The sequence below is a fragment of the Homo sapiens genome, chromosome 4 (assembly GCF_000001405.40).
Source record: "Homo sapiens chromosome 4, GRCh38.p14 Primary Assembly".
NCBI classification, from domain to species: Eukaryota; Metazoa; Chordata; class Mammalia; order Primates; family Hominidae; genus Homo; species Homo sapiens.
In genome coordinates, this window is record NC_000004.12 from 72,534,372 (window position 1) to 72,558,640 (window position 24,269).

The 24,269-nt window shown below is 37.3% G+C and overlaps 1 protein-coding gene across 3 annotated transcripts in view; it reads right to left on the reverse strand.

Moving 5' to 3' along the window:
* Window positions 1-24,269, reverse strand: part of ADAMTS3 (ADAM metallopeptidase with thrombospondin type 1 motif 3) — a 288,253-nt gene that overhangs the window by 253,403 nt on the left and 10,581 nt on the right. For all 3 annotated transcript variants that reach the window (NM_014243.3, XM_011532422.4, XM_011532421.2), the window contains exon 3: window positions 14,107-14,513. In NM_014243.3, coding sequence (NP_055058.2) covers window positions 14,107-14,513 — 407 coding nt within the window. The remainder of the gene's footprint in view (window positions 1-14,106; window positions 14,514-24,269) is intronic.

Below are 24,269 nucleotides of genomic sequence, written 5' to 3' on the forward strand. Positions count from 1 at the left end.
TCAAAAACTTAATAGTTAATGATTTCCTAATTCTAGCTCCCTAGATCTTAAGGGACCAGTGGAAGCAATAATGAAGATCTGAGAATGAATGTCATTGTTTCATAAGACTGGACAAAATGGTACAGGTCTATGAATAAGTTGTTTTATTGGAAAAGGGAATCAACCAGTGTAGAGGAAGAGTAATTTGTACTCATAGTGAACTTTGACCAGAAATTTTGTATGTTTTTATTTTATTAAAAAGTAGAAAAAGTGATCACTATACAGTTTGGTTTACAAACCATTTTAAATAACGTTCCACAAATGGAACAAAAAGAATCACTGACCTAATTCAAACTCCTGGTTTTTAAGTATGGAAAAAAGTAGCAACATAGTGCCATGAATACAGCCCATATTTCAAACATTCTCATAGATGAACATGTTCCTAATTTTTTTTCCAAGCATAACATATAAAAAGAGATCCCTTTCTGAAAATTTTAGATCAATGGTTAGGGTCTAGGACCAAAATGGCTCAAAGAGTCTAGAAAAATATGGCTCACAGTGAACCAATATGGCTCAATATTAGTGTCTAGAACCAATATGCCACAAAGTCTTCTCTCATTTTTATATGCTAAGTCTAGGTGTGACACCACAATTGAAGCCAAGGCTGGAAGTGAGGTGCAGCTGACCAAATAGAGATCTCATGGTGACTTATTTTATCTGGACCCACATCACTATGCTTGGTCTGCTTTCTTGTCCAGGCAGCCAGTTAATACCATTCTCAGAGCCAGGTATGCAAAATAAAGGACTGTAAGAAGCCAGGAAGTAAAGTGTAAAATATTGGTACACCCTAAGCAAAGTCAAATATCCTGCAAGCCCAAAGGAAGTATTACCCCAAGAGTCCAATCACTATGTTAAAGGCATCCTGTTTCACTGATAATGCTAAATGAAATGTTTCCCATTGTGTTTGGGTTGCTAACATTTGTAAATTCTCTCATTAACTACTGTTCTTCATTTTCTCTCAGGCTTCGTACGATCAGCTCAGAAGTTGACTTTAAGACTGGATCCCATTAGGTTAATGAGACACCCCAGCATCTAACAGTACAGTCCTCTCAATCTATAAATATCTTCTACTTTTAGAGACATCACCAGACAGAAGTAGACCTTCCAGAAGTCTCCTACATTTTAAATTGAGGTTGGAAAGTTTTATCAGCTAGTCAGAACCCCAAAGACCTACTTTGATAATGCTATTCAAGTCTAAAAACTACATTTTCTGGTAATTGGAGCTAGACACCCCTATGCCACTTCTTTCTTCATTCCTTTCAATTGCCTCCACAGAGGGGCAGAAAACACCCACTCCTTGCTGGATGCTTGTTTTTATCAAAGACTCTAGACCAGAAACCACAAAAAAAGATATAAGGTAGCATATTAAACACCATCACTTAAAAAAAAAGACAGCAAAAGAATGAGGTTGGGAAGATTCTGAACAACAGTATAAACTATCTGATGCCATAAAACCCTTTACCTTCTATCCCAAATACATCTCATCCTGAGATTCCTAACTTAAAATATTTGACCAAAACAAAAAGCCTGAGACAAATGTTAAAATTGTGACTTACGCCAGGTTAATTCTATTCCAGCTAGGGTTTGAACTACATCACACCACTGAAGGAACTGTTTCCTACAGCAGAGGTCATTTTCTATATGGTTATTTGTGACATAGTGCACTACATGGTGGTCAATTGTGTAAAACCTCATTATCGTAATGACAACAGCAATAAGAAGTCTATCATGGTTATTATATTTTTGTCTCAACTCCGAAGATTCAAATAAGTGGAACAATAACTTTCTATATGGTAGAGTTATATATAAATAAGATGGAAAGTAATGGGTTTTTTATCTTTAGAACTCTTCAGGAGAGCAGAGATTAGAGTAACCCTCAGGGAAGATGATGTTAAAGGAGCCATACATGACGTAGAAAAGGTTATCTTAAAATTACAAGGATTTTCACCAAGGTTCTAATTTTGTGGAAGACTATATTTTCCACAAACTGGCTCACAGGCCGAATTGGGTTACTGCAGCGTATTTTATTTTGCAAACTTAACCATCATTATTATTAATCACAAAATGCTAAAACAAATCATTGTAAATGGAAAAAGAAGAGGATTTCAGTAACATTGATTTCCTAAGGGCCAGGCTGTGTGGAAGATGCATTAATGCTCTTGGTAATGCCCTAATCTGATAAGCATTACTTCCCCATTTTACTGAAGGAAAGAGACCTTAGCAAGGTTAAATAACTTGCTCAAGGTCATGAGGCTGGTAAGTGATAGAACTGGAACTAGAGTCCAAGTTTGTCTAATTCTAAAACAACACTGTGATCAATCCCAACATGAGTCCTTTCCTTTGACCATTTTACAAAAGGCTTGACTTCTGTCATCAACGGTACTTACTTTTTTAAAAAACTGAACTCTCCCAAAGTATCATAACTCAGAATAATTTGGCCACTATTCGTTTTCATTCATGCTTATTGATTATTCCCACTAAAAAAACCCAAATTTAATATATTCCAAACATTTTATAAAATTAAAATGTAACAGGTAATATTGTAAAAAGGTGATAGAATAGGAAGCACCAAGAATTTCCCCACTAAGGCAACAATCATACTGGCAGAATCTGTCTGATGATAGGATTTTGGAACTCTGTAGTCTACTGAAGGCTTACCACTTCCAGGGGAAGACTCAAATAATAAATTACAGTTAATTTTAGTCAACTTCAGCTCTTAGCACAGTAGCAGTTACCAGTACCCCAACCCTCAGCCCTGTGGCAGGCAGCTGTGCACATATTCCTAGAGCAGCTTGCATAAAACCTGCAGGAGCAAATGTGGGCAAAAAGGGCCTTGTTCTCCAAATATCTGGGATCCATGCCCTGATCACTGATGCTTCTGATCATGGAGATTTAGACAAAGAGTGATAGCCTTTTTTGTTACTCCCTCCATTGTTGCAAATCCCTCCTCATCTGACTGAAATGATTTTTAGGGAATTTATAGAGATAGCTTTTTTTTTCATTTTTCTCTTTTTCTCCTTTTGTGAACCAGAGATTGAATACTAGGATAGTCAAAAGCAACTACATATACAAGAAAAATTTGAAAGTCATTGTGCATGCCCAGGGAAAGGCACAGGCTCAGAAAAGACCTGAGAAGACCTTAAGTTTACAGTTCAGCCTAATCTTCAGAAAAGAGGCAGCCTACAACAACTACAAACAAATAAACAACAACAACAACAACAAAGCAAACAGCAAGCACTGAGGAATGGGAGGAAATCTGATTTCCAGAGATACAACACTATTAGGTTCAGAAGCTCAATTTAAAACCAAATATCACAAGGAGCACAAAGGAACAGAAAAGTATGGTCCATTCAAAGGAAAAGAAAAAAACAATAGATACGGTTCCTAAACAAGACCTAGTGGCAGTATTAGCAGATCTACCAGACAAATACTTTAAAACAAGTGTCTTAAAGATGTTTAAAGAATTAAGACACACATGGAGAAAGTCAAGAAAGAGATATAGGTAAAGAAATGAAAATATCAAGAAAGACATAAATTCTAAAAAGAAACCAAAAAGAAAGTCTGGAGTTGAAAAGGAAACTAACTGTACTGGAAAATTCACTAGAGGAATTCAAAGGCAGATTTGAGCAGGCAGAAAAATTAGTAAACTTGAAGGGAGGACCACGGAAATACCAAGTCTGAGAAAGAAAAAAGATTGAAGAAAAGTGAACAGAGGCTAAAGGACCTGTGGAACACCATTAAGCAGACCAACATAGATATTGTGGGAGATCCAGAAACAGCAGAGAAAAAGGAAGAAGCAGAGAAAACATCTAAAGAAATAATAGATGGAAAATTGCCAAATTTGATGAAAGACATAAGTATAAACATCTAAGAAGCTCAATAAACTTCAAGTAGCATGAATTCAAAGAGACTCATACCAAAATACATTGTAATTAAATTGCTGAAAGACAAAGACAAAGAGAATTTTTAAAGAAGGAAGAGAGAAGTGATTCATCACATTACAAGGGATCCTCAAGACAATCAGCAGATTTCTCATCAGAAACTTTTAGATTCCAGAGGCAGTGGACTGATATATTCAGAATAACAAGAGAAAAAAAAAAGGTACACCAAGGTATGGCAAAAAATCCCTTCAAAATTGAGGGAGAAGTTAAGACATTTCTAGATAAATACAGGCTGAAGGAGTTCATTACCACTACACCTTCTGCAATAAATGCCAAAGACTTTTTTTTGGCAGAAGTTGAAAAACCCATCTTAAATTCATATGGTATCTCAAGGGAACCCAAATCACCAAAACAAACCTGAGAAAAAAAGAAGCATAAAGCTGGAGGACTCACACTTCCTGATAACAAAACTTACTACAAAGCTACAGTAATCAAAATAAAGTTATATTAGCCTAAAGATAAACATATGCAGCAGTGGAATAGAATAGAAAGTCCAGAAATAAATTGTTGCATATATGGTCAAATGATTTCAGAAAGGGGTGCCAAGACCATTCAATTGAGAAAAGACAGTCTTTTCAACAAATGGAGCTTGGAAAACTTGATATCCACATGCCCAAAGCATAAAGCTGGATCCTTACCTAACACCATATACAAAAATTAATACAAAATGGATCAAAGACCTAAATATAAGACATAAAACTAAAAACTCTTGTTAAAAAATATATATATAGGGCAAAAGCTTCACAACATTGAATTTTGCAATAGATTTCACATCAAAGGCACAGGAAACAAAAGAAAAAATAAATTGGACTTCATGAAAATAAAAAGATTTTTGTGTATCAAAAGACGCTATTAACAGAGTAAAAAGGCAACACACAGAATGGAAGAGAACACTTGCAAACCATATATCTGATAAGAGATTAATATCCAGAATATATAAACTCCTAAAACTCAACAAAAAACAACCACCAGATTCAAAAATGAGCAAATGACTTCAGTAGACATTTCTCCAAAGAAAATATACAAGTGGCCAACAGGCACACGAAGAGATGTTCAACTTCACTAACCATTAGGGAAATGCATCTCAAAACTATAATAAAACACCACCCACCTCCCAACCTTTAGGATGGCTACTATCAGAAAAAAAAAAAAAAAAAAAAAACAGAAAATAACAAGTGTTCACAAGAATGTGGAAAAAAATCAAACTCTGTGCACTGTTGATGGGAATGTAAAATGGTATAGCTACTTATATGGTCTGGCTGTGTCCCCACCAAAATCTCATCTTGAACTGTAATTCCTACAATTCCCATATGTCATGGGAGGAACCTGGTGGGAGGTGACTGAATTATGGGGGTGGGTCTTTCCTGTGCTGTTCTCCTGATAGTGAATTAGTCTCACAAGATCTGATGGTTTTAAACAATGGGAGTTTGCCTGCATAAGCTCTCTCTTTGCTGCCATCCACTTAAGATGTGACTTGCTCCTCCTTGCCTTCCGCCATGATTGTGAGGCTTCCCCAGCCACATGGAACTGTGAGTCCAATTAAACCTCTTTCTTTTGTAAATTACCCAGTCTCAGATACATCTGTATCAGCAGCGTGAAAATGGACTAACACAGTAAATTGGTACCAGTAGAATGAGGTGCTGCTGAAAAGATACCCAAAAATGTGAAAGCAACTTTGGAACTGGGTAGCAGGCAGAGGGTGGGACAGTTTGAAGGGCTCAGAAGACAACAGGAAAATGTGAGAATGTTTGCAACTTCCTAGAGACTTGTTGAATGGTTTTGACCAAAATGCTGATAATGATATGGACAATGAAATCCAAGCTGAGGTGGTCTCAGATGGAGATGAGGAACTTGTTGGGAACTGGGGCAAAGGTGACTCTTGTTATGTTTCAGCAAAGAGACTGGCAGCATTTTGCCCCTGCCTTAGAGTTTTGTGGAACTTTGAACTTGAGAGAGATGATTTAGGGTATCTGCTAGAAGAAATTTCTAAGCAGCAAAGCATTCAAGAGGCGACTTGGATGTTGTTAATCGCATTCAGTTTTATAAGGTAAGCAGAGCATAGAAGTTTGGAAAATTTGCAGCCTGACAATGCAATAGGAAAGAAAATGTCATTTTCTGAGAAGAAATTCAAGCTCGCTGCAGAAATTTGCATAAATAACAAGGAGCCAAATGTTAATCCCCAAGACTATGGGGAAAATGTCTCCAGGGCATCTCAGAGGTCTTCACAGCAGCCCCTACCATCACACACCCGGAGGTCTAGGAGGAAAACATGATTTCATGGGCCAGGCCCAGCGTTGTCATGCTGTGTGCAGTCTAGAGACTCATGCCCTGCATCCCAGCTGCTCCAGCCATGACTAAAAGGGGCCAAGCATGGCCCATGACTTCAGAGGGTGCAAGTCCCAAGCCTTGGCAGATTCCACTTGGTGTTGAGACTGCAGGTGCACAGAAGTCAAGTACTGACGTTTGAGAACCTCCAAATAGATTTCAGAGGATGTATGGAAATGCCTGGATGTCCAGGCAGAAGTTTGCTGCAGGAGCAGCACTCTCATGGAGAATCTCTGCTAGGGCAGTGCAGAAGGGAAATGTCAGGTGGGAGCCCCCACACAGAGTCCCTACTGGAGTACCACCTAGTGGAGCTGTGAGAAGAGGGCCACCATCCTCCAGACCCCAGAATGATATATCCACCAACAGCTTGCACCACATGCCTGGAAAAGCTGCAGACACTCAACATCAGCCCATGATAGCAGCTAGGAGGAAGGCTGTACCCTGCAGAGCCACAGGGGATGGAGCTGCCCAAGACCATGGGAACCCACCTCTTACATCAGCATGACCCAGATGTGAGACCTGGAGTCAAAGGAGATCATTTTGGAGCTTTAAAATTTGACTGCCCTGCTGGATTTCGAACTTGCATGGGCCCTGTAGCCCCTTTGTTTTGGCCAGTTTCTCCCACTTGGAATGGGTGTATTTACCCAATGCCTGTACCCACATTGTATGTAGGAAGTAACTAACTTGCTTTGATTTTACAGGCTCATAGGTGGAAGGGACTTGCCCTGTCTCAGATGAGACTTTGGACTGCGGACTTTTGAGCCCATGCTGAAATAAGTTAAGACTTTGGGGAACTGTTGGGAAGGCATGATTGGTTTTGAAATGTGAGGACATGAGATTTGGCGGAGGCCAGGGTGGAATGATATGGTTTGGCTGTGTCCCCACCCAAATCTCATTTTGATTTGTAGCTCCCCTAATCCTCACATGTCATGGGAGGTACTCAGTGAGAGGTAATTGAATCATGGGGGTGCGTTTTTCCCATGCTGTTTTTGTGATAGTGAATATGTCTCATGAGATCTGATGGTTTTACAAAGGGCAGTTCCCCTGCACATGCTCTCTTGCCTGCCACTATGTAAGATGTGCCTTTGTTCCTCCTTTGCCTTCCACCACGATTGTGAGGCCTCCCTAGCCATGTGGAACTGTGAGTCCATTAGTTTTCTTTTTCTTTATAAATTAACCCAGTTTTAGTTATTTCTTCATAGCAGCATTAAAATGGACTAATATACACCCTAAATGTTATTTACTCTGTGTATGTATTCATATTTAGAATAATGACTCAAATTTAATCATAGTTAAAATGATTAACTTTTAATTAGAAAGTATTCTAGTAAAATAGGTAAATTTTATGGTTAAACTTTCCTTAAACATGGATAATTATTGCACCTAATTTACTAGGTTGTTGTGGAAATGAACAAACTAATACATGTAAAATACATGTCTCATCCTAAGAAGTACTAAACAAATGTTAACTATTGTTATCATTATTTGTTTTGTTTTCTTTGTTTTGAGACGGAGTCTTGCTCTGTCGCCTAGGCTGGAGAGCAGTGGTGCAATCTCAGCTCACTGCAAGCTCCATCTCCCAGGTTTATGCCATTCTCCTATCTCAGCCTCCCGAGTCGCTGGGACTACAGGCGCCCACCACCACGCCCGGCTAATTTTTTGTATTTATAGTAGAGATAGGGTTTCACCACGTTAGCCAGGATGGTCTCGATCTCCTGACCTTGTGATCCGCCCGCCTCAGCCTCCCAAAGTGCTGGGATTACAGGCATGAGCCACTGCGCCCGGCCCCTGTTATCATTATTTTATTGTTATCGTTGTCAATCCATTATTAACAGAAACCCATAGTTTAACAATAAATTGTGTTCTGTTCTACCTGTATACCATTCTGGACCAGAATTTGAGATATTAGGAACTTCTTTTTATAGTTTTTCTGATTTTCCTAATGACTGTGACTACATGTATAAATAAATGAGGAAAGAGACACTTGGGAGGCAAACTCCAAAGTATGACCCATGACTTCCTTTTCTCATTTCTGTTCTACATAATAAAGTTCTGATTGGGATAGACAAAAAGTGCTTCAGACACTCCAAAATATCAGCTGGAGCTGAAGAGACCAGAATTAGAAACACAACATCCAGTAGAACCAAGGTCTCAACAGCCTTATTTCTAGTTTTTTAATTCACTTAAAAACTTTACTTGTTTGGAAACATACAGATTTTGTTGTTCTTTCTTTTCTTCTTCTGCTGCTGCTGGTAATGATACACACATTTGCTTTTTATGGTGTCTTTTTCTCTCGGAAAGATATATGTGTGAGAAAGCATATCATCATTAAAATACTTTCTCAATTTCAAAATAGGATTTGCAGTATAAATAAGCAAGTATTAAGAGGAAACTTCAAAATGTTCATGGAATATGTGTATTATGAAAAAATATGGATAAATTTCTAAATTATTTTGCATCAAAATAAACTTGTACTAACTTATCACATGTCTGAACAGGTTCTAGTTTAAGGCACTAAGAGGAATAAGACATAAACCTCTCTCTTTTGTACATTACCCAGTCTCAGGTATATCTTTATCAGCAGTGTAAAGATGAACTAATACAGCTACCATGGGGAACAGTATGGCAATTTTTTTCCAAAAATTAAAAATAGAATGACCATATGATCCAGCAGTGTCACTTCAGGGGATAAATTCAAGTGAACTGAACACACAGTCTTGAAAAGATATGTGTACACTCATGTTAATGGCAGCATTATTCACAGTATCTAAAATGTGGAAGCAATCCAAGTGTCTAACAACAGATAAATGAATAAATAAAATGTGACACACACATACAATGGGATATTATACAGCCTTACAAAGTAAGGAAGTTCTGACATATGCTTCAAAATGGATGAAATTTAAGGACGTTATACTAAATGCAATAAACTAGTCCCAAAAATGAAAAATACTATATGATTCCACTTATATGAAGCATTTAGAGAAGTCAAAATTGTAGAGACAGTAGAATTGTGATTGTCAGAGGCTATAGGGCGGTAGAAATGGGAAGTAATTTTTTAATAGGTATAGCATTTCAGTTTTGCAAAATGAAAAGAATTCTGGAGATGGATGGTAGTGATGGTTGCACAACCATATGAATGTACTTAACACCACTGAACTGTATACTTAAAACATGCTTAAGACGGTACATTTTATGTTATGTGTATTTTATCACAAAAAAATATTGGAAGAAAAAGTAGGCTATTACAATCTAGATAGTGCATCTCAAAACTCGTCAGGCTAATATATATATATGTCTTATTTTTCAGTATTACTAAATCTGGAGTTAGATCTCAGTTCAATTATATATTACTGTTTCTTCAATCAATACATGAGAATTTTCAGAAATTATGGAAGATCTGAATCTGTTTACTGACACCTATTTAGGATGACAAAGCACCATAAAACTAATAATAATCTCTTGATACATTTAGTAGTAGTCTAGTATTGCTCAAAAATTAATCAACTGTTTTGAAAACAAAGTGTTTAAAATGTCTTGTTTTAGAGGCAGAGAATTCAGCCTACCTTAATAAAAAGCCAAATTGATTTTTCAACCCCTTTTTTTCTTTGCAATTTTATTGTTATAGAGTGACAACAGTAAAGTCTCCCTTTTAAATTGTATTTATGACCAATCTCTCTATATTTCTAATAGTGTTAAATCATACAACTTAATTTATTTCCAGTACTCTTTGAAGACAAGAGTTACACTTGACCAATCTCAGTACTTACCACAGCAATCAGTGCAACAACTTAATACTAGTGCTTCAAAATGCTTTAACTTGGATCAGGATTCCTAGAATTGAAGATTATTAAGTCAAACCTTGAGGCTGAGTTTAGTTTTCAAGGAGGCTGTGACCTCAGGGCATGATTACTACAAAGGCATCATATCAATTCTGTGCTGTGCTTTTGTTCTTGTTTTAATTATAATTTAACCAGAAGAAAATATTTCAGATGTGCTCAAGCAATATTTTCACAGTTCTTAAAGCATTTCTTTATTATCTTCAAAAACTTACACTAGTTATAATGACATCATGGTTTTCATGGCATTAAAAAGAATAGAAAGCATTACTTTTCAGGCCAACAATAGAAAGAAAAAGTACTTCCCATGCCTCTATTATTTTCTGTTTGTCCAGGTCTATCCAAAAAGAAATGTGCAATTTTCCCTAATTTTTAACCATCTTTAAATTTAATTTTTAAAAATTATTATATCAAAGAAGAGATACTTGGGAAAAACTATAATCAAATTGATGTATATAAAAAGCAAACTGTGACCAGGTGGTACTTATAATAATAAATAAACATGAATGGTTTAATTTAACTACAAATAACTATTATTAAAAATATTATTTAAATTTGAAAACTCTTTTTTTTGTTTGTTTGTTTGTTTTCTACTTTATTCCAAGATCACATCCTTGGATATTCTTTGTATAAAATAATTAGTCACAAAAGAGAAATACAGATTTTTAAAAAATGAAAAAGGCTTGACATATGTATGATTCTAGCCATATGAAAATTAGACATGAGATGTGAAAATGATCAAGGACTATGCCAAATCTTCCCTCTTCATCCTAAATAAGCACAAACTGCCTGCCTATTTGAAGAAGGAGGAAAGGTGGATGATGTATCCAATAGCTCAGACCTGGCATAGGCAAGCATACAACACTAGGTACATTCTGTCAGCTCTCAAGGGGCCACTGCTTGACCAAACCTCAGGAAGGGAGCAATGAAGTCAACAGTAGTTCTTCCAGACTAATTAAACTGGAGGACTCTCATCATTCTTCATTCTGAAAGGGGCCAATGTCTGTTGCTTTGTTCCTACTCCCTGGAAATTAAAGGATATAAGAGTTTTAAGCGTCTTCCAGTCCTGGTGTAGCCTGGTGTAGGTACCTGGAGGTGAAACATTGCTTCGGTCCTTTATTCTTCAGACCTTCTAAAGTCTCAAATCAGCATGTAATCCATGAAGGCACAGATATCTCTTCTGTCTCATCAATAACACACACAACACCTTCTGTGGACATCTTCCACAGGAGGAATAGGTGAAAGGCAACAGGTCTTCAGACATCGAGTTCTCTCATTACAGCAGATATGCAAATGTCAACATGTCGAAATCAGCCCTCAAAAACTTTCTTTTCTAAATCCACTGTTAATAGCTAAAAACTTATGCCTATTTTTAGTATCAAACATTTCATTTACCAGATTAAGCTGTATCACAGCTCACAATCACCAGTCAAATGTTCTCAATCATAGGCATATTGGCTCATATTTTTTAAGTGGACTTTTTAAAAAGTGCCTCTGCAGCTAGACTTACTAAAATAGGCATGGCAAGAATATGTTTTTGAAGGGATCAAATCACAGAGCAAAAGTCTTAAGGCAGGTAACTAGGGCTGTTTTCATTGTAACTTTGCAGCTGCCCACAAAGACTTCATTTAGTCCTGCTCAAAATCTAACAAAGGTAAAATGTCTCTGATATTAACCAGATGTGACTATCAGATATTTTAGAAGAGAGGCTCTCTTTATGGTTCCCAAATTGTTAACCTCAAGCTTCCAAGAACCCCTACCCTACCAGTAAAGATCTCTGTTAGATGCCTCAGGGAGCTCAACAGTGGTATGAACTGAGGACAAGTCAGGAGGGAGAGTGTTTTGACCAGACCTTTCCTGAGTTTATCCAATTTACACTCTATTTTATTAGATAACCTCTAGTGATTTCATCTGAACGAAGAATTACAAATGTTAAAAAAAAAAAAGTTGAAAACCTCTGTCCTAGATAAACCCCCTTGATCTTAAAATCAGCCCACAGGGAAATCACTGAGCTAGGTAACCCAGTAGAGCCATTAGCTAGTCAGTTCTTCCACTCACAACCAGTTCCCTCTGACGACAGTCCAGAGGAATTAGCAAGGAGATGCTGTTCTAGCAAGTTGAAAAAAATCCAATTTCTTTAGATTATGAAACACATCACATAAAGCCTACTAACCAAAAAAACCTTTATTTTGGCAAATTGTAGACCACAAAATATGATTGTGAGCTGCCACTACTCACAGGGGAGATTTTATGGTATTAGAGAGTAAATGCCAGGACTCTGTGGGAGAAATCTATTTCATCTGGGATTCTCATCCAGAAGTGTCTTCCCAAGAAGTGTGTAAAATGCCTGCCATTGTCATGACTCCTGACCACCAGACTTTCATTTCAAAGGTGTAGAAGTAGGGAGGAAAAGCACATCAACACCCCCTTGCCAAAGACCACCAGAAGCACGTCTTTAGTTAACAAGCTGGGTTTGTTACACGTTGCTGAGATGGAGAACGTACAGCAGAGGGAACCATGAGCATCTCAGTAAGAGACTGTTGAAAAGAACCTATTATTAACAGCATTTGGGCTTTGGCTGGGTAATTTTGAGAAAAGTCTAAAGAAGTAGAGCATTTTTCTAGATTGGATGCTATCAGAAAGTGGGGACGATTCTATGATTGAATATCTCAATAATTCTTACCTATAATTAGGGCAGACTAGAGCAAGGATAAAGCTGTAATTGGTAAAGGATTAACAGTCACTCATACATGATAATATTGACTGAGAACAGGAAAGGGTCAATGCTAGACAGAAAAAGACATTGTTCTTGATTGTTCACACTGGGTAGGAATCATTGTCAATTCCTTTGTACAGGAAACCCTGTTGATTTCAGAAACTCACTGAGTAATATCTATGTCTAGATCATATTCCAGGCCATAGCTACATACGTCACTCAAGGCATTCTTCTGTCCTCTTTGATAAAGCCTATGTTAAATTGCCTTTCATGCGATCATCTCATACAGTTACCTGGATAGGTAATATGATGATTTCAGTCACATTTCTGATGTCCAGAATGGGCGAAATCAGCTAAGTGTCACTGCCTGTTTCTCAAACTATCTATGGTGAAGAGACAGTTTTTCTCCCCAGTCAGTACCAGACTAGTATTTTAGTACATATAAAATAAATACAATTTGATAAAATAAAAACTAATTACTAGAATAATAAAATGAAAAAAGACAGAAAACACCAACACATTTTTAAAACTGTTATTATTAGACCCAACAGACACATTAACTGTCAAAATTGCTATAAAAGTTCCTAAACACTTAGCCTGACTATTGGTATTTGTCTTGTCACAAACCTGAGTCTACGTAGCACACTTAACCCTCAACCACAAAACTGAAAAGCAACATATGGGTATTAAATTTGAAAATGAAGAATTGAAGCCACCGCACAGAAAGTACTGCATCTTGCATTCATAAAGTAATGTTATTTGGACAAATTCTGACAGAGAATCTGCTCATTTCCCACATTAGAATTCTGTGAGGAAGCTAAAGAACACTTTCAAAATACTTTCTTTACGAGGATATCCAAAGTTTCCACATAAGGAGTAAAATACGGTCATTTTGAAGGAATCTATGCTTCTTTGGAAAGTTTTCAGAATACTTTGAACAAAATAAGGAAATAAAATCTTCCAATGTAATACAAGGAAAAACATTAACAAAAAAAAATGCTAAAATATTTGACTTTTGTTTCTTGGAATAATGTCGTCTTCGCATTATTCCAAGAAACAAAATTGTCACAAATTAAGCCAAAATGCATATCTTTGACAGCAAAATGCTTTCTAGTGTCTTTTTCTGAACTTAAAATGTAACATAACAATGAAGCCTCCTTTCCACCTCCACCTTCCAAACTATGCAGAAGCCATGGCTGCACTCCCAGCACCTGCAAACATACGCACAAAACAGAAGGAGTCTTACCAGACCATCACAGTTGCTGATGGCAACAGAGGTTCCTGGAATGTCCACGATGTCACCAACATAAGCACAGTTAGTCTGCAAAGGCTCTGTTCTCCGGATTCTATACGTAGCACTTCCTGGTTGATGGTTGTTAATGGGATCGGTTATATTCCCAGGCACCAGAGATGTCTCATGCCACTCCACAACAGCCCCAGGAGCTACTAGTTGAGTGTTGGGCTTTAGTCGCAGATGAAAATCTTTTCCAAATGCCGTGATGTTAAAGAACAACTGCTCAGGGTTGGAAGACACGTCCCTCGCTGACCTCTTTTTGTGACTCGCAGAAAGAGTATGGGAGAGATAGCGTCCTTCTAGATTTGTGCTGACTGGAGTCACCAGCTCATACTCTCTATATCTCTTTATTGGTAAATCTGTGGGGTGAAAAACAGAACTGTCAAACCCTGTACAATAAGAGAACACAGGAGAACATAACACAGACAAAAGCTGCCCACCTCACAAGACCATACTTCAATGTGCATAATATAGACATTCCTGAATCAGCTCATAAATATTAAATTTTGAGAACAAAAATCATTTCTCAAATGCATTTAAGTAACCCTGTGTTCAATGAATCATTTTTTACTTAAAATAGTATTAAAATTACATTGTAAATATTTACATCTCATTAATACATTTGCAAACACGAATATAATGTGTCCATAAACTATAAATGGCTTGCTTAAAATCAAGGCATGCCCTTAATTAATTTATTATTGGCATAACTGACATCTGCTAAAAACTTTTAACAAGGTTATTATGTAGAAAAAAGAATTCTGATTGTTTTCATTTTTTCCCTGTAGAAATCCTGGAATTTAGACTAATTACAATAACTATATTACATGAGTCTGTAATGTATACACTGTAGCTTACAATGCTGTAATTTATACACATTTTTTCCACCATAACAACCCTAACAACCATACTTCACAGGTGAGAAAACTGAGATTCAGGGGTAGGAGGTCCTTTGTCCAAGGTCAAACAACTGCAAAGCCTGAATATAAATCCAAGTTGTACTCCTAAGCCCATACACTCATTCTATCCTACCATGCTTTCCTCCATAAACCTCCATTTTTAGAAAATTAGAAGAATGGGTAAAGAAGACATAATAATCTTTAAATCAAATATGCAGGTACTGGTTAGTCAAGAGGGAACAGCATTCTCATTTTGCACCTTATTCCTTAAGTGGGACAGATATCTATTAGAATATGAAAGAGTATTTGGGACCCACCTTACAATATGGGCAGACACTTACATGTTAAACTGAATTTCACAATTAGCACTTAAACCCCTGGCTTAGCCAAATATAAGTATTTTGTCTATCAAAATGCAAACACCCTTGGGAAATAGAACACTTTAAAGGAACTATTATAAGAATGATTTTAAGACCACAGGACAATGGATACTAGAGAAGGAAACAAGCAGCAGGGCAACAAGGGTAAAAAAAAAAAAAAGAAGAAGAAGAAGAAGAAGAAGAAGAAGAGGAAGAGGAAGAAGAAGAAGAAGAAGAAGAAGAAGAAGAAGAAGAAGAAGAGGAAGAGGAAGAGGAAGAGGAAGAGGAAGAGGAAGAGGAAGAAGAAGAAGAAGAAGAAGAAGAAGAAGAAGAAGGCATAGAAAGGGAAATCTAAAAACATGAACTAAAAAGTTTCCCACTTTCACAATTCTAGCCTTACGCTAATCCTATAGTGTGTTAAAGTGCCCTAAAAAATGGTATGATTCACAAAACTGCTCACCTATGGAGATCACGAGTTTTGTCATCCAATAATGTATTTAGAGCATGAGATCTGTAAATGAACCTACGTCTTATGCTCATAAAGTATCCTTGTAGAATCACTATTTTCATTATTTTCTTGCTTTTTAAAAACCTCAGGCAATAAGTGAAATGCCAGAAGACAAATAAAGGCATTTACTTGTGCAACATTTTAATTCTTTCTGTGCATGTTTGCTGTAATTATGCCTCTTAAAATTACCAATGTATTTAAATGAACTATCCCATTTTACTAAATGAATACAGCAAGCAACACTTGTAAATATTTACTAGGCAAAGAAGCAGTGAGGACTGTAGTATGAGTCAAGTGAAGCCTGATTCCAAAACTGGACAGACAGTGCAGTCCCTGCTGAACTAGACTAGGCACCAGTATAAACACAGACTTGGTCTTCCAAGAAGGTTGTGAGGAAGATTTGGTCTTCCTCCATGGTGAATACTTTTATAAACTCTGGTTTAGAGAGAAAAACAAACTCAAAATATAAGAGAATGAGCACAAGTGTCACGGGTGCAGAGTGACAGAGGGGAAAGTTTCCAAAGTAAGGAGATGAATCAAGCCCTTGTATGTGTACTGACAAAACATAGCCCAAATTAACTACAAAGTCCTTAAAGACAAAGAACTCCCCATTCAACTTGGTACTCCCAATACCATCATACAAGATTTTGTATGTGTCAGGGTGTCTTGCCAGTTGAATTTGTTTGATGCTTATTAAGTTAGTAATACCGGTAACCAGAGAACACTCGCCTTGTCTAAGCTGCTACACACACTGACTTACAAGACACATTACCCAGGCCCATGAGTGTCTGGCTGTCCCAGTAATCTCAGTTATAGCTTTTTCTCTAACCATCGGCTGACCATTTCAAGGGAAAGAGGAAGCAGTGCTTAATTTCAATGTATGGATTTCCCATCTCCACTGAAGGGAATTCACAAAACCAAAGTCTAAATCAGTATATTGTACTGATGCATGGATTAAGTGACTAGAGAACAAGAACATTTAGAAAAACGCAGGGAGCCTTCTCCATACCCAAGAGGATACTCACAGCCTCATACGTACAGTAAGCCATACATCCTAGATGTATGTTCCATTTTTATACTGTCAGGTATTATGTTCTAAATTTTTATTCAAAATATGAATGGTATGTTTCTATAAAGCTTTATTTTCTCTAATGCTAAATAATAAATCATTCCTAAAAAGTATACATAATAAACATTTCTTAAATGTTTGAATGAGTCATTTTTCTGTTGGCAATTAAGGTAATGAGGAAAAAGATACGATTGGCAACCCTTTGGATTACCATCTCCTGGATGGTAGTTAATGGAACTACCCAGTCACCTGCCATTTATTAGCAGAAAAAGCTCCAAGCTCTATGATTTGTGTTTGAGAATATATCATCTCTAATACTCACAACAATCACAGTAGGTAAATCCTATTACCCCTATTCTATAAACGAGAAAGCAGACCTAGAAGACTTGACACATATAAGCAAAGAGCCAAAGGAAAATTCCTGTTCTGATCATTTTGACTCTGAAGACCATGCTCCTATGCTCTCGTTCACTTCTGAATAGATGGAGCATCTTGCTGTCAAAGTCTAATTTAAGATCTGATTTATAAAAGAGAACTACCACAAGAATTACAATGTTCTACCTACCTGCAGCCAGTCAACCAATTTTTCCTCTAGTGTAGCATCAGAAATTTCTGTAAAAGGCTCTTACATTCTAGGTTTTGGAGGAAGAAACTGGAAGGAGGGGCAGAAGCTCAAAGCAATCAAAAGAATTTTAATCTCAGATTACAATCACAGAAGTAAAACCAAATTATATCCAACGTTAATTTACTGCATTCATAATTTTCACATTTTACAGGCCCAACTACTTTCACAAAGCAGGAAAGCCTATGGTTATTGAATGAACTGCAAAGTCAGAAAGCACTAAGTTGAGTCCACTTGTGATCTTCAGCAAGTTCTTTATTTTCTCTTAGGCTCAGTTTCCTCAACTGTTAACTGGAGGTTAGTAATAGTTACAACTTCATAGGTTTGGTGAGAGTTTTACATAAAATCATGTAGAAGATTCAATAAATATCAGCTATTACTAATTTAAGTGTAAGTTAGCCACTCATTAAAATAATGTTGTGGTTCAACTTTAAAGTTAGAAACTATAAAACTGTTAGCTGAGGTGGCTGAGGGGCCACAGTAATAGGTATGTGAAGGCTTTTGTGGGCCGTAAGTTCCACAGGCACAATTTCGAATGTGCTTCTTAACTGTTCTCCTTGCTTCTGCTCTTCCCCTTAATGGATTATCCTCAAAATAGAGCCAGAATAATTAAAGTGTCAAATCTTATCACTCTTCTCCTCAAACCCATCCCACTCAAAGTAAAATGGCTCATAAGGTCCCAGGGCTTGAAGCTGGGGATTCTCACATCTCAAAGATTTTGTACTTGCTGATTCCTCTGCCAAAGGATCTTTCTCTCAGCTGCCTGGCTCACTCTCTCAATTGCTTCAGACTTTTGCTTAAATGTGACCCTCTCAGTGAAGTCTTTCCTGACCACTAGCAACCATTTTACCCTCTGTCCCCCTTCTGTGTCTTACCTTTCGCCATAAATCCTGTCACCATCTGACATCCTATAAATTTTACTTATGTGTTTATTTATATATTCTTATATCTACCAGCATATATACTTCATGAAGGCAGAAGATTTTATCTGTTCTCTTCACCTCATTTCCCCACTGCCTAAAAAAGAACTTGAAGTTACTCAATAAATATCCATGAATGAAGAAATGAAGAAATGCGTGAATGAATGAGAGCAGTTTGAGTCGGAAGGGGTATGTGAAATTAGCATGCATCTTCTTTTGGCTAAATAGTCATTTTATCACCAAGCCATTAATGACGGCAAACTGTACAAGTCATCTACCTCTAAAGCCAGAATTTTGCTTGGAAAGCTTGTGTATATTTCTCACAGTTGCTGCTGCCCTACAAACCAAACATTTCTTAGTATCCAGGTCTTACCTTTTAAGCTACCAAAAACAAGAAATGGATCTAATCATTAAAACAGACCTCCTGTAAGACATACACAGAGCCCTGCATTCTTAAGAGCAGGAAGCAGGAAATTAGCCCCCACTCTGCCATCTCTTTGGATATTCATAGAATTATAACTATACAGGTCAAAAACTAAAAAGACCCAGAAGTTAGGGTCCCTAATCCCTGCTCTTTCTTACAGTTCAGAAATCTCAAGTAGATGGGATTATTTTTTCTCAAGTTAGTGGTAGAGAGCCTTTAACCTGCTCCTGCTCTCTGGAAGGAAAGGTTTTTCTCTGAGCACTCCAGGCTGCTCTCTATCCCTTCACTCACCCTTCCCTGGTGGAGAAGAGTGAATTATGTGGTTGGGAAGTCTGGGAAGCATAAGAAATTTGCAAACCTCAGCACCTCCTCCTCATTCTGCTTCCTGGAAATGAGTCTGATAAGGGGTACATGTTCTCTTCCACTCAGCCAGGGGCAGCGCTGCTCTGGATTGGGGAGGCCTGACAGGCACAGGGTGGAGTATTAGTAGCCAGTGCACTTGCCTGTCAAAGTGGAAGCCTCATTCTCCACTTCAGCCTTTTCTGTAAAAGATATTTTCTTTTTACCTACATCTTTAGTTTTTCTATTTCTCAACTTGTTCAGAAGCTAGGCAGTCAAGAAGGGTATTTTTTATTCAGGATCTCCTCAGTAACTTGAACTACCCCCAAGAAAAACTGTTGTCATATCTCCACTGGCAGCCTAATTATAATGTAAAAAAATTTTCTTGTCAGGGAATTCTCTTTTATCTAAATTCCTCATTCTAGAGTTTAATGTAATTCCTTCTTCCTCCTTGTACTATGTGAAATAACCACATTTTTGTATATATGTGCATGAGTGTATTTGTGATATGCATATAAATTTGTGCAGACATATGCAGTTAATATGCACAACCTACATCAAAAGCTTTGAAGAGGCAATGTTCTTTATTTCAATATACTTAGAAATTTTTTACTTTCTATGTTAATGTCAACCATGTTAGATTTTCCTAGTGGTTTCCAAACTTTAATCATTATGCCTTTACACATATCTGTGTTTTAGCATGATACCCTGCAAATAGTAAACCCTCAATAAATATAGGTTAAAAGAAAATTTCCCTTAAACTATAACCTGAACGGCTCTGTTCTCTATTGAGAATAACTTGTCTTACTCTCTCTTCATCCTTAATATATCTAAACCAAACTGAATGTTCACCTATTTGGCTTGCCCTCCTGACTTCGCTATTTCTGTTCATGATGTGCTGATTCTCCCAAATCAGGCTAGAGAGCTATTTTATACATGTCTTATAACTTTCCCCCATATGACATCATTCAAGTCCTACTGCTGTTTCTTTAGCAATTTCTCTCAAACTAACCCCTTTTCTTCTAATTGCTTTTAAGATCTCATCACCTCACACTGAAAAGCTGCAAGTACCAAGTCCAAATTCCCCACACAGAATTTCTCACTACTAAGTATTATACAAATTATACCAAAATACTGTCTAAATTGCTGTCAGGAAAATTATTTTAAAGGTCCAGATTGAAAATACTTAGGTTCTACCACTTACTACCCTAGTGATTTGGGTCACTACATTAGCTCTTATCTGTAAATTACGGGTAATAGTATTGACTTCATAGGCTTGTTGTAAAATTTAAATGAGCTAATCAATTCACAGTGCTTACAACACTGTCTGGCACATAGTAAATATTCAATAAATGCTGGCAATTAATGTCACTACATTATTCCACCTAACTAGCCTCAGTAGCTCACCATCACTTTAGGATAAAAGATATAGATTCACAAAATCTGTATCTTTTTCACGTCAGACCTAAAATTTGCTTAAAGACCATCTACTAATCAAACCCTCCCACTTCAAAAGTAGAAAACAGAAAATCAGAGATTAAGTAACTTAACCCAAATAAAAACTTAGGTTTGGTATTTAAAGCCCTCTGCACTCTGCCCCTTATTTCTTTTCAATATCATCTCTCATATTAGCCTACTGAAATATTCTGTCTAATGTGCTCACAAGACCTGGCTTAAGCATGCCTACATTCACAGCCCTACACTGCAGCATCACTACAGTAGAGGATCACTGTTTTCTCTCCACCAAGGCAAACTGAATGGGGCCGCCAAGGCCTATCTCAAGCCCCATCTTTTCCAAGAAACCTTCTTGGCAACTTATCCACAGAGTACAGACCTCCTGGCCTGAGCTTCCATAGCACTCCCTGTCAAGGCATTTAACAAAAACTCATGCAATGTCTGTACAAAAGTTTTTTAAAAATCTCTCTGGGAGAAGAGTTATATGCTTATGTTTCATCCTTTCAGAAACTATAAGATCTTTGGGTCAGAAATATAATATCTTAACTATGTTTAAATGGCTTGGTATGTTTGGATCTGTGTCCCCACTGAAATCTCATGTCAAATTGTAATCTCCACGTGTTAGAGGAGGAGCCTGGTGGGGGTGATTGAATCATGGGGGTGGACCTCCCCTTTGGTGTTCTCGTGATAGTGAATGAGTTCTCATGAGATATGGTTGTTTAAAGGTGTGTAGTACTTTCCCCTTAGCTCCCTCTCTCCTGCTGCCACATGAAGATGTGCTTGCTTCCCCTTCACCCTTCCACCATGATTGTACATTTCCTGAGGTCCCCCCTGTCATGCCTCCTGTATAGCCTATGGAACTGTGATTCAATTAAACCTCTTTTCTTCAAAAATTACTCAGTCTCAGGTAATTCTTTACATCAATGGCAAAACCCGCAATTACTTTTGCACCAACCTAAGAGCAGTGTGAGAACAGACTAATACATAGCCTTAGTGTATATTACAGGAAGGAAGGAAGGAAGGAGAGGGAGGGAAGTCTAACCAATGGCTCTGTCTGGAAGTGGAGCTTCTTGGGAGATTGCTCTGTGCTGGGGCTGGTAAGGTGCACTGTATGACATATGACAGACACAGTGGCCCATGCTCTAGGATCATCTTAACTCCTTTACATGTTCAGCCAGATATGCTACAACTTGAAACAGATATCTTGGTTTCCTTCTAAGTATGTAGCAGAATGAGACACAAATATCCCCTAGGGGATACCAGATGTCCCCAATACATTGCAAAGACCACACTATAGAACTGTAAAAGAACAGAAGTCTTCAGTAGTATTGTCAACATTGCAATGACTTTGAGCGACTTCAGTATAAATCTCTTATATGTCACACAAATTTTTAAGGGTCTAATCAATACCAAAGCTACCCCAGGCACATAGAATATTGAAATACTTGTGATTGATGCATATGGCTCCAAGCAAGGAAGAGATTTGGGTATGATGGTTGAGCACTAAAGGTCTGGAGTCAGAAAGCATTGCATTTGAATTCTAGTTCCTGACTGATGCACGCTTTGGCATCTTACAAGCAAATTCTGAAAATTAAGGCTCGCAGAGGTTATCTGTAAAAATAAAAATAATAATGGGGACCAAATGAAGTGAAGTATACAAAGGACTTGGTCCATCTAATAACACTTTAATAAATGAAAAGTGAGCTGTTATCATCACCTCTAACTAGAGCTATAGAAAAAGAAAGCCAGTTTCAGATTTCTTCCAAGTCCCAGCACCCCTTCAGGCCTCTCTCCCCTATAATCCCACCCAGCCTGATGTGATACAGTTAGAAGGACCTTAAATTCCACATCAACAGAGGGCCTAAAATCCAATCTGGCTGTAACAATCCATGCCCCATTACCCAATCTAAAAGACTGGAATTCTCTCCCAAGAATTGGCTGGTTAACTACGATGAAGTGGCAGTTCACACAGGCAATTTCTTTTATCAGGTATAAATTCTCAGTATGCAATAATCTGGCCTCAAGAATGAAATCGAATAAGCATTTTCAAGATCATCTAAAGAAGCAGCTCCAACAACAACATTTCCAAATCCTGAGCCAAGAGTAAGAGAATGACTTTCATCAGAAATGATGGGAGCCAGCTGCTCCAGGAAAGATGCAAGCAGGGCGAAGAATGGACATTAAGGAGGACGCCAAATGCCAAAGGGCTCAGCAAAGCCGTAAACACTTAAGGGGAATGGTACACATCTTCCCTCAAAAGCAATTAAAAATTAATTGTGACACATGCTGAAATTCTGAACACAGTCAAATTCTTTTTTCCTCACTTCAAATCCTCTAGGCTCTTATCACCACAAGTCCGACACCCTCTTTGGTGTGTCTTTTATTTTAATTGCAAATCTATTTTCATAGTATAATATTTTTATGAAACTATTTGAAAAATAAAGGTCATGGCTTTTTTATTCATTATTAAGAAAGAATGAATAGTTGTGTACTTAAATTCTTCTAGTTTTTAAAAATCTGGCTTATTAATAAATATTTGTTGCAATTGCACAATATTTATGTTCAAAAAAGCCATTTAGGAAAGAACAACACATTCTTTACTGTACTAGAACATGAAATCAGGTAAGAGAAGATATTTCAAAAAAAGAAAAAGCATGCTTTGAAGAAAAATATCCAAGCATTTTATTTGCTACATCTTAAAATGACCAAATAATCAATAACAAAATAAGTAAAAAACATTTTGTTTTTAAGTGAAGCCCAAATGCCAAAATTTTAATATTCCAATCTCAGTTTTTAAATAAGTACTTCTGCTTATTTAGCATCATTAAGAATCTTACAGACTCGAGAGCTATGTTAGGCACTCTAAAAATTAATATTTCTCACACCTCTTATAATTTTTGCTAGATAGAACTTTGAAAGATTAATATTGAGTATAGAATTTGAAGCTATAAAAATTAACATTTGTCTCCAAGAGCAAAGCCTGGGGAAAATAAAATAAACAAGAAATGTGGACAGCACTGTTAAAGGTTTTCACTGAAACTTTACTTGCGATAATTACATTTTCCAAATCTAAAATAGCCTGGCTCATACTTTTGTCAAAAAGTAGGAGAAACTGGGACAGTCTACTAGGTCACTGAGCTAAAATCAAGTCATCAGCAGGGCTGCATTCCTTTTGGAAGCTGTAAGAGAGAATCTGTTTCCCTGCTTTTTCCAGCTTTTGGAGGCCACCGACATCGCCTGGCTTATGGTCCCCCTTCCTCCATCCTCAGAACCAGCAACAGGGGACTAAGTCCTCCTGCTACCACCTCTCTGGTTCTCTCTCTTTCACCTCCCTCTTCCATTTATAAAGACTCCTACCCTGATAATCCAGGATAATCTCGCTATTTTAAGGTCATTTGATTGTCAACCTCAATTCCATCTGCAAACTTAATCCCCCTTTGGCATGTAACATAACATACTCGCAGGTTCCAAGGATCCAGGCACAGACATCTTTGGCGTGCCATTATTCTGCCTGCCACAG